Genomic DNA, 12,079 nt, shown 5'->3' with positions numbered 1-12,079 from the left:
GAACAAGCTAGATATTCAGTATTTTTCTGTGATATAAAGGACGTATGAGATGTGGATGCTGCCCAGGTATTGCTAAAGGGTTACTGGGAAGCTAGAATAACCACATGAAGGAATTAGGGGAAGATACAAGATTAAAAGTGTTGAATTACATGGTACAGACTTGAGCTGCTACAGCCTGGTGTCAAGGAAAGAACACTGGACCAATGTCAGGGGATGTAGTTGCCAGAATCAATTCATAAGGGGAAAGGATAATGTTTAAAAAAGGCATAGCCCCGGAGTGTGATGTTCCCCTTCCTGTGTCCAAGTGTTCTCATTGTTCAATTCCCACCTATGAGTGAGAACATGCGGTGTTTGGTTTTTTGTCCTTGCGATAGTTTGCTGATAATGATGGTTTCCAGCTTCATCCATGTCCCTACCTGTTGTGGGGTTGGGGGAAGGGGGAGGGATAGCATTAGGAGATATACCTAATGTAAATGACGAGTTAATGGGTGCAGCACACCAACATGGCACATGTATACATATGTAACAAACCTGTATGTTGTGCACATGTACCCTAAAACTTAAAGTATAATAATAATAATAAATAAAATAAAATATAAACGTAAAAAAATAAAAATAAAAAAAGGCATAGCATAAAGTCATGACACAAAGCAGGTAGCTGGCAGGAGCTTAAGGGAGGAAGTTGGGAAGAGAAAGATAAAAGTTATAGAGGGCAGGGAAGGTGGCAGAGAGTAGGTAGAAGTAAACCATGGAGGTCAGTTCTGCGGTAGTGACCACAAAGCCTGGAAATTTCCTCGTAGCTAAAAGAGGATTAGGAAGAGGACACTGTACATTTTCTCTCCAATTAGTAGGCGAGTTCCATCCTAGCCAATTCTAACGTAACAATTACGGAGAGAAACAAAGCACCCATGAGCTTTATTCTCAGGTTGAGAAGGAAAAGGAAACAGATCAAACTTCAAAATGTGAGCCAGGAAAGCCGTCTCTGGTCTTGTGTCTCCTGAGGAAGAAAAGCAACACTTAGAAGAAAGGGCAGAGAAGCAGAAAAGGGGATGCACGCTGAAGGAAAGCAGGCAAAGTTCCAGGCCAGCCTGGGCAACATAGTGAGATATTGTCCCTACAAAAAATACAAACAATTAGCCAGGCATGGTGGTGTGCACTTGTAGTTCCAGCTACTCAGGAGGCTGAGATGGGAGGATGGCTTGAGCCTGGGAGATCCAGGCTGCAGTAAGCTGTGATTGCGCCACTGCACTCCTGCCTGGGTGGTAGAGCAAGACCCTGTCAAAAAGAAAAAAAAAAAGAAAAGAAAAGAAAAAGAAAGAAAGAAAGAAGGAGAGAAAGCAGGAAAAAACACTTAGGAATAAGATTTGCCCATTTTTGCAAACCATCCCACCCATTTTTGAGAGTTGGTAGCTCTCAGAGGGCAGAACCCCAGGCTTGTGTCTCGTCTTCCCACGTGAAATGAGACATACAAGGAGAACGCCCCCGCCATGGTGATAAGCAGAGGCTGGAGCAGTGCGTCTACAAGCCACAGAGCACCACGCGTGGCTGGCAACACCAGGAGCTAGAAGCGGCGAGGAAGGATTTTCCACTGAGTCTCAGAGAAGCACAGCCCCGCTGACACCTTGGTGTCAACTCCTGGCTTCTGGAACTGAGAGAAGATAAATTTCTGTAGTTTTAAGACATGTTCTATGACACACTCGTGGTATATGACAGGTGCTAACAGGCACTTGCTAGATACATTCTCACATAATTATGATGCTTAGAGCAAGACAACAGAATTGGTAAACAATGTCAAATGTGACTATCTATAGGGAAAAAAAGAAAAACCAAAGTGGGGAGGAGGGAAAAAAGGGAATTAAAAGTTACTAAAGTGGACTTACTTCCTGACTCCCTCCAACCACTATGGGCTCATCTATGCAAAAATTCCAGTGCATTCTGTCTGATTCTGCTGTAGTGGGAAAGGCCTGCAGACCTTCTTATGTTCCCAACACACCCTTCTGACCTCCAAGTTCCTCTGTATCTTAGTCGTCAACCTTCCCAACCCATGTTCTTTTTTGTCTTAAAACCCCTTCAGAAGAATCCAGTTCCCGTCCACTCTGGGTACCCAGCCATCCATCATGTGGGATCTGATCATCTCAGAGTACAAGCAATGTTTTCCCCAATAACCATGTAGTAAACTTTCTCCATGGAGGTGGGCTGTTATCTCAGGAAACTCACCAACTGGGTTGTAATTTCAGAGGCTTTCATTAGAAATTAAGGGCTTACCGGCGGGGCGCGGTGGCTCATGCCTGTAATCCCAGCACTTTGGGAGGCTGAGGTGGGCGGATCACGAGGTCAGGAGATCGAGACCGTCCTGGCTAACACGGTGAAGCCCCGTCTCTACTAAAAATACAAAAAATTAGCCGGGCGTGGTAGCGGGCGCCTGTAGTCCCAGCTACTTGGGAGGCTGAGGCAGGAGGATGGCGTGAACCCGGGAGGCGGAGCTTGCAGTGAGTCGAGATCGCACCACTGCACTCCGGCCTGGGCGAAAGAGCGACACTCTGTCTCAAACAAAAAAAAAAAAAAAAAAAAAGGAAAGAAAAGAAATTAAGCGCTTACCATCTCAAAGCGTGGGCCCGGGGCTGGGGCTGTGGGGCTGGGGAGGAGGGGGAATCTATAATAAGTGTCAGGCAGAGGACTTCCCTTGGCTAATATCCAGGGAGGATCATCTTATTCGATAGACCACATGCTGATTGCTTCTATTCCAAACCAGAAAAAGCAAAATGTGAATCTTTTGCGGAAGGGGGAAGATGCTGTTTTCATCTTTAAGTACATTCTGTGTGATACCCGGTTGCACTAGCTAATGGCACGGTGTGCCGAGCCCTGTGTTAGGCTAGGACACAGGAAGAGAGTCCACAGTCCTCTTCTACAGCTGCCTACGTCTTCAAAAGGGCAAGAGATGTTTTTTCAAGGCAAATTCTTTGGTTCAATTCCCATGGATGGATTTGATCAAAAGAGGTCAGTTTCCCTAGATAATTCATACAAAATTCTTTTTTTTTTTTTTTGCGGTAGATGTTAATCAGTGGCCTCGAGTGAATGATCAGTTTTGTCTGCAATTAGTAAAAAACTAGCAAACTCTGGTTATGGGATGGAAAGAACATCTGCTGAACGAAGATACTCTAAATTTGAAAGTTAGAAAAACCCTAGGGCCCCAGGTTAGTTATTCAAAATGTGAATCATGTGATGAGAAGCAGTCCATTTGGAAACTTTTGATGTTGATAGCTTAGTTCATGAGCCAAATAGTCATCTTTTCAGGCAACATTGTGAGAAATCAGACAAATGAAGAAAGTGGAGGAAAGTGATATGTACATTCTTGGGGATTGTTCTCAAAATGAAATGTATTTAAAGCAAACAGGATCTCAGCTACTGGGAGCTGGTCTGGTGGGATGTGGCCAAATAGAATTCCAATGAACCCAAGAGGTCTTCTATATCTTTGACCATTGTGTTGCTTTTGTCTGCTTTGATGCAATCTCCATGGAAGCTGAGATGAATCTCCATCCTCCACGGACATTTTTCTAAAATAATCACAATGTCATTTTTTCTTGAATCTTCTGTAGCTTTCCCTTAAAATAACACAAAATCCAAGCTGGAAGAGTCACTGGGGACCATGATCAGTAATTGACTTCCCCTGGTCAGTAACTCAGATATTCCTAATTATCGAATTATCAAATCTTAAAAATTAACTACATTGCCAGCAAGACTATCTCAGAACAACACTGACTGTCTTCCCAGGCCCAACCAATCCCTTTGACAGACTGATTGCCTCCGGGAAAGTCACACCTTGAGTTAAACAAACAAAACAGGTTAAGAATAGGCAGGGTGCGGTGGCTCACACCTGTAATCCCAGCACTTTGGGAGGCGGAGGCGGGTGGATCATGAGGTCAGGAGTTCAAGATCAGCCTGGCCAACATGGCAAAACCCCGTTTCTACTAAAATACAAAAATTAGCTGGGCATGGTGGTGCACACCTGTAATCCCAGTTACTTGGGAGGCTGAGGCAGGAGAATCATTTGAACCTGGGAGGTGGAGGTTGCAGTGAGCCAAGATCATGCCATTGCATTCCAGCATGGGTGGGTCGAAACTCTGTTTCAAAAAAAAAAAATAATAATGATAATAGAAGCAGCTAGCACAGGGGTTATTGAATGAGATGATCCTCTTTTTTCCCTCCTCCTTTCCTTCTTCCCCTCCTTTCTCCTTTTCTTTCTCCCCCTTCCTTTTTCTCTTTTCATAAACATTCCATCCAGAGCCCAGTCTAGACAGGCTGCCCCAGTGTCACTACAAAATCTCCCTTCTCCATCATCCCCCTGCCTTTCTCCTGTGTCGTACTTCCTTTTGCACGTGTGTGTGTGTGCATGCGTGTGTGTGTGTGTGGTCTATTCCCTGTATCTTGGCTTCTACCTTTTAAGTTTACTCATTTGTTTCAGTGCAGCATCTACTCCAGAATTTTTCCAAGAAATGGGGATGGGAGGTATGGGCGCAAGAGTGACCTTATTTTACCACCTGGCTAAGCCCAAATCTGAGAATGGCTCCAAAATGTCGACTTGACGTGTTACTCTTTTTTTTTTTTCTGAGACAGAGTCTGGCTCTGTCGCCCAGGCTGGAGTGCAGTGGCGCGATCTCGGCTCACTGCAACCTCTGCCTCCCAGGTTCAAGTGATTTCCTGCCTCAGCCTCCCAAGTAGCTAGGATTACAGGTGTGTACTACCACGCCCGGCTAATTTTTGTATTTTTAGTAGAGACAGGGTTTCACCATGTTGGCCAAGCTGGTCTTGAACTCCTGACCTCAGGTGATCTGCCCACCTCAGCCTCCCAAAGTGCTGGAATTACAGGTGTGAGACAATGCGTTTGGCTGATGTGTTACTCTTTATGTAAGAACATCCACTCATTGTTAAGTTTCCTCCAAAGCAACTCTTGATTTTGTTGTAGAAATCATACGCTGTGATGCCCGAAGCACCTACATTTCCCCTGAGGTCTACTTTTGCCCTGGCTCTGGGGGGTTGCAGTGTGGAGATCTACCTGTTTTGCACTGCCCATGACCACGCTTCTGTCTGTTAGTTCCCCTAAGAAATCACCCCAAACTGACAAACTGGATTTGTGTGCCCCCTCCTTTGGTTTCTTGGCTCCTTCTGCATATGGGGGATGATTTGCACTTACAGCCCTCCCTATGGAACAGCAGGTAAGATATTTTAGATATTATAAGTCCTAAAACATCACTGACTGCCTAGCTGTAAAAGTCTTTGAATGATTTTTATTCAGTATTTGGGGGCCTTGCTCCAATAACTGCAAGTTCCTCCCTCCACACTGCTTCAGCCCCAGTCCTGTGTTCTGGGATCCTTGGCCCTTTGATTCTTGTCTCTTTTGGGGTGCAAGGAAAAGGTATCCACTAAGCTAATTCAAATAAAGGGGTGTATCTGCATGGGGTGGGGAGGTAGGAGGGTTCCTGAAGATAGCCAGCAAAATTGAGGCAGGAGAATAGGGTCTGGAGGCAGGGAACCTAGGCCGTTTCACGCTGACTTCCTGGAACTAGACTGAAAGGAAAACCCTCTTTCCATGCCTAAGTAACAAAAGGACCAGAGGCTACTCCCGTTGCAAACCCCCACCTTTTCTGTGCCCCGGAGATGGGAAATTGCAAGTACTTCTGATTGGTTGCTTTCTGCAACCAATCAGATGTTTGAAGAAGAGAGTAACTTTGTAGCTTCATTTCAGCCTCTGATTGGTTGCGGGCCACCTCTTCATTTACATGGGGTGAGCATGAAGTGTGGCCCATGGGAAAGCTCTACGGGGTATTTAGACCTGAGTAGATTCTCTATCCAGGGCCCTTGAACCACTGCTTGGACCCACTCCCACCCTGTGGTGTGTACTTTCCTTTTCAATAAGTCTCTGGTTTTGTTGCTTCATTCTTTCCTTGCTTTGTTTGTATGTTTTGTCCAATTCTTTGTTCAAAATGCCAAGAACCTGGACACCCTCCCCCAGTAACAAAATTATATTAAAAATCCAAGAGCAGAGCTGAGAAACACTGAAGTGGCCCAGGACTGGTGGCCGCTCTCCCAGCATCTCTTGAGTCTCCTCTCTGGGGCCCTGGCTTTCACCTCCCACAGCCCCCACTGGATGCTCCAGCGTGTGCCCACGCCCAGCGCCCCCCACTCCGCCCTGCACCCTCCCGGGCCCTCTTGCTCTGGCTCTCCCTCTTATCTTTCTTCCCTTCTAACTCACTAATCTAATTTTCAATTTGCCAAACAGATTCCCAATAAAAAAATCTTTCTGAGCTAGACAAGACAACTCCTCTGTTGCTGGCAGCCTCATCCATGGGCTGTCCTGAGTCCAGCTCCAGTACTTGGTCCAGGCTGCTCTGGCAGGGACCCAGCCATGAACGGATGCAAAGGAACATGGTTTTCATCTGCGCTTCTCTGATTTCGGATGAAGCTAAGCTTCTCTTCTTGTTTGGTGCTCTTTGGGGTGTCTTCTTCTATGAATTGCCTATCTACATCTTATCCCTTTTTCCACTTTCTGTCTTTTTCCTCTTGATTTGCATGAGTTCCTTGAATTTTCTAGGCACTAGTCCCTTGTCAGCTTTGGATATTGCAAGCGTGTTCTCCCATTCTGTCCTCTGTCTACAGGGATACCTCAGAGATGTTGTGGGTTCAGTCCAGATTACTGCAATAAGGCAAATATTGCAATAAAGTGAGTCACACATTTTTGTGGTTTCCCAGTGCATATAAAAGTTATGTTTCTATACTGTAGTCCATTTAGTGTGCAATAGCATTATGTATAAAATGTACTGTATTAATTAAAAATACTTTATTGCTAAACAATGGTAACAATTATCTGAGCCTTCATGGAGTTGTAATCTTCCTTTGGTGGAGGGTTTTGCCTCGATGTTGGTGGCTGCTGACTGATCAGGGTGGTGGTTCCTGAAGGTTGGGGTGGCTGTGGAATTTCTTAAAATAAGACAGTAATGAAGTTTGCTGTATCCATCGACTCTTCTTTTTTAATTTTTTTCTACCCCTGCCCTTCCCCTGACTCTTCCTTTCACAAAAAGATTTTTCTGTAGCATGTGATGCTGTTTGATAGAATTTTACCCAGAGTAGAACTTCTTTGAAAATTGGAGTCAGTCCTTTCAGACCTTGCCACTGCTTTGTCAGCTAAGCTTATGTAATATTCTAAATGCTTTGTTGTCGTTTTAACAGTGTTCATAGCTTCTTCATCAAGAGTAGTTTCCATGTCAAGAAACCACGTTCTTTGCTCATCCAAAAGAAGCAACTCCTCATCCTTTCAAGTTTGATCATGAAATTGCAGTTCAGTCCCATCTTCTATTTCTCTTGCATTTCCACCACATCTGCAGTGACTTCCTCCACTAAAGTCTTCAACCCCTCAAGGTCATCCATGAAGACTGGAATCAACTTCTTCCAAACTCCTCTTAATGTTATTATTTTGATCTCCTCCCATGAATCACGAATGTTTCTAATGGCATTTAGAATGGTGAATCCTTTCCAGACGTTTTCAATTTTCCTTGCCCAGATCCATCAGAGGAATCACTATCTATGGCAGTTATAGCCTTATTAAATCTATTTCTTAAATAATAAGACTTGAAAGTAGAAATTAGTCCTTGATCCATGGGCAGAGAATGGTGATCGTGTTAGCAGGCAGGGACACGACATTTATCTCCTAGCACATCTCCCTCAGAGCTTATAGGTGACCAAGTGCATTGTCAATGAGCAGTAATATTTTGAAAGGAATCTTTTCTTCTGAGCAGTAGGTCTCAACGGCGGGCTTAAAATATTCAGTAAACCATGCTGTAAGCAGTTGTGTAGTCATTCAGGCTTTGTTGTTCCATTTCTAGAGCACAGGCAGAATAGATTCAGCATAATTCTTAAGGACGCTAAGATTTTCAGAATGGCAAGTGAGCACTGGCTTCAGCTTAAAGACACCAGCTGCATCAGCCCCTAGCAAGAGAGTCAGCCTATCCTTTGAAGCTTTGAAGCCAGACATTGATGTCTTCTCTCTAGCTATGAAAAGTCTTAGATGGCATCTTCTTCCAATAGAAGACTGTTTAGTCTACATTGAAAATTTGTTGTTTAGTGCTCCTGTCTTCATCAATGATCTTAATTAACTAGATCTTCTGGAAAACTTGTTGCAGCTTCTCCATCAACACTTGTTGCTTCATCTTACACTTTTTTATGGAGCTGGCTTCGCTCTTTAAATCTCATGAACCAATGAGGTTCAAAAGCTTCAAACTTCCTTCTGCAGCTTCCTCACCTCTCTCAGCCTTCAGAGTGGAAGAGAGTTAGGACCTTTCTCTGGATTCGGCTTTGGCCTAAGAGAATGCTGTGGCTGCTTTGATCTTCTATCCAGACCACTCAAACTTTCTCTGTATCAGCAATAAGGCAGTCTCACTTTCTTATCATTTGTGTGTTCCCTGGAGTAGCAGTTTTAATTTCCTTTAAGTACTTTTTTTTTGAGATGGAGTCTTGCTCTGTTACCCAGGCTGTAGTGCAGTGGCATGATCTTAGTTCACTGCGGCCTCCACCTGCCAGGTTCAAGTGATTCTTCTGCCTCAGCCTCCCAAGTAGCTGGGATTACAGGTGCACACCATGCACACCACCACGCCCGGCTAATTTTTGTATTTTTAGTAGAGATGGGGTTTCATCATGTTGGCCAGGCTGGTCTTGAACTCCTGACCTCAAGTAAGCCGCCCGCCTCAGCCTCCCAAAATGCTGGGATTACAGGCGTGAGCCACCGTGCCTGGCCAAGAACATTTTCTTTGCACTCACAATTTGGTTAACTGTTTGGCACAAGATGCCTAGCTTGGGGCCTATCTCAGCTTTCGACATGCCTTCCTCACTTAGCTTAATTACTTCTACCTTTTGATTTAAAGTCAGAGGCCTGTGACTCTCCTTTTCACTTGAACACTTAGAGGCCATTGCAGGGTTATTAATTGTCCTAATTTCAATCCCCAGGGAACAGGGATGCACAAGATGAGGGAGACAGACAGAGGAATGGCCAGCTGGTGGACCAATTAGAACACATACAACATTTATCAATTAAGTTCACTGTCTTATATGGGACCCCCAAAACAACTACAGTAGTAACATCAAAGACCACTGATCACAGATCATCACAATGATATAATAATGAAAAAGTTTTAGATACTGCAAGAATTACCAAAATATGACACAGAGACATAAACTGAGCATGTGCTGTTGGAAAAATGACACCAACAGACTTGCTCAAAGCAGGGCTGCCACAAACCTTCTATTTGTAAGAAATGCAACATCTGGGAAGTGCCATAAAGCCAAGCATGTTGAATAAAAGCCTGAATTAACTTTGTCAGTGGGCCACTAGTTGACCAGAAATTTTTCATTCTGATGTACTAAAAATCATCTTCCTTTTTTTTTTTGCTTACAGCTTGTGTTTTGAAATTTTAAGAGGTCCTTCCCCACCCTTGGATCGCAAGGAAGTGTGTCATCACCATATTCTGTTAACTTATCATTTTACTGTTCATATTCGGTATTGGCTTCATTTTGAATAGTCCTATGTATGTGATGTTGGTTTTTTACCCCTGCAGACACTGAAATGACTTCTAAATATCCACAAGTAACTCGTCCTTTCCCCACTGATTCCTGGGCTGTCTTTATCATGTAATGATTCCCATGTAATATAGTCTCTCTCTGGGCTCCCTCTCCTGTTCCCCTGGTCTGTGTGTCTGTCCTTGGTTTTGTGTTGTATCTTAATTCCTAGTTGAGCAAGTTTGACTTAGCATTTCATGGATTTTTATACTTCCATAAAAAATTTAAATCAGGGCCAGGCGCAGTGGCTCATGCCTATAATCCCAGCACTTTGCGAGGCTGAGGCGGGCGGACCACTTGAGGTCAGGAGTTCGAGACCAGCCTAGCCAACATGGCGAAACCCCGTCTCTACTAAAAATACAAAAATAAGCTGAGCTTGGTGGCACATGTCTGTAGTTCCAGTTACTTAGGAGGCTGAGGCAGGAGAATCACTTGAACCTGGGAAGCAGAAGTTGCAGTGAGCTGAGATCACACCACTGCCCTCCAGCCTGGGTGACAGAGTGAGACTGTCTCAAAAAAAACCCCAAAAAACAAAAAACAATTAAGTCAGGTTTTCAAAGTCCTTAATAGGATGGTTGAAATTCTGATGGGAAATCTGAGTAGCATAAAGGCATTCTAAGTGGGGAAATGATAGGCGTGAAGGTAGGAAAAATGAGTAAGTCAAGGTTAAGGCACGTGACCCATTTTTGATGAAGCTAAAGGTATCGAGGTATCTTAACATCACCAAGTTCTTTCTCTTTTCACAGTTTAACAAAGTTAAGATCAAGGTATCAGTTATACTTTTATTGTATAAAAGCACATAAGATGACCTATATCCTTTACTCATGCCAAGAAAACTACCTGCTTTACCCACTCTGCTCTTGATGCGCTGTTTAAAAAGCAGTTTCACTTCCATAGCAACACATTCGTTTCCTTTCCACTTCCTGTAATACTTGCTAACTTTCACTTCTGGTTTGTTTTGACTCCTCTATTTTGGAAGTCATTTCGTTTTCAAGTAAAGTAAACATGAACAACTCTAAAATACAACTTATACCTCTGTGTCTTAGTCGAAACAATACAAACACCCTAGCACTTTTCATCTTTAATTCAACTAGACGTTCACTACCAGATGGCATACTAGGCCCGTTGAGTTTTGCATTACTTAGTTCCTTAAAAATAAAAGGAGAGAGGCTGGGGCCGGTAGCTCATGCCTGTAATCCCAGCATTTTGGGAGGCTGAGGCGGGTGGATCACTTGAGGTCAGGAGTTCGAGACCAGCCTGGTCAACATGGCAAAACCCCATCTCTACTAAAAATACAAAAATTAGCTGGACGTGGTGGCACATGCCTGTAATCCAGCTACTTGGGAGGCTGAGGCACGAGAATTGCTTGAACCCGGGAAGCAGAAGTTGCAGTGAGCCGAGATCATGTCACTGAACTCCAGCCTGGGCGACAGAGCGAGACTCCATCTCAAAAACAAACAAACACACACACACACACACACACACACACACACACACACACACACACAACAGGGAGAAATAAAAGCAAAGTGCTCAGGTCAGGCTCTGGTCAAACCAGGGCAAAACAGACAGCTCCCCAGGGAGCTCAGGAGGAATTCCCAGCTCCTGCAGGGCTGAGCAGAGAGACCAGCTGGAGAATACACTTCCTTTTCCCTCTTCTTGTCTTCCACCTGGCCCTTATTTCCATTTCTGCTTTGTCTCCAGGCAGGTGCACACTCCACCTTTTCTCATTGATGTGATGGTCCCCACTCCTCTGTCCTGCCAGATTTAGGTCAGCTGTTCTGAGCACACGGCAAAGCAGCTTTAGACTCCTGCACTGTCGAAAAACACTCGCTGAGCCTGAGTAATTGCAAGGAAAACGGATGCATGCTGTCAGATCCTCCACTGCTATTTTCTCACACTGAAGTCTATTTTTCTTAGGTATCTAGATACCTTTAATTTCCATTTCTCTCACTCCTTTCTTGCCATCTGTTCATTTTATTATTGTTCCTTATTTATACATTAACATTAAATATACTCTTTTGAACGTATAATAATGACTTTCATAATTAAAACATTTAAATGGCTTATTCCTTCTTTCTTCGAACTATTTTTATCTACTTATTTATTTTGAGATGGAGTTTTACTCTGTTGCCCAGGCTGGAGTGCTGTGGTGCGATCTTCGCTCACTGCAACCTCTGCATCCTGGGTTCAAGTGATTCTCATGCCTCAGCATCCCAAGTCGCGGGATTACAGGCATGTGCCACCATGCCCAGCTAATTTTTGTATTTTTAGTAGAGACAGAGTTTTGCCATGTTGGCCAGGCTGGTCTCGAACTCCTGACCTCAGGTGATCTGCCTGCCTCAGCCTCCCAAAGTGCCGGGATTACAGGCATGAGCCACCGCACCCAGCCTCTTTCTTCTGATCTTCGTTCTCAGCTCTCACCAAACTGGCTTAGAGACTTCACTAGGAAGATGTGTCCTCCGCCATCCCAGAA

Source organism: Homo sapiens, chromosome 7 (assembly GCF_000001405.40).
Source record: "Homo sapiens chromosome 7, GRCh38.p14 Primary Assembly".
NCBI lineage: Eukaryota > Metazoa > Chordata > Mammalia > Primates > Hominidae > Homo > Homo sapiens.
The sequence above is the reverse complement of the archived record's forward strand: the minus strand, read 5'-3'. Positions refer to the sequence as shown.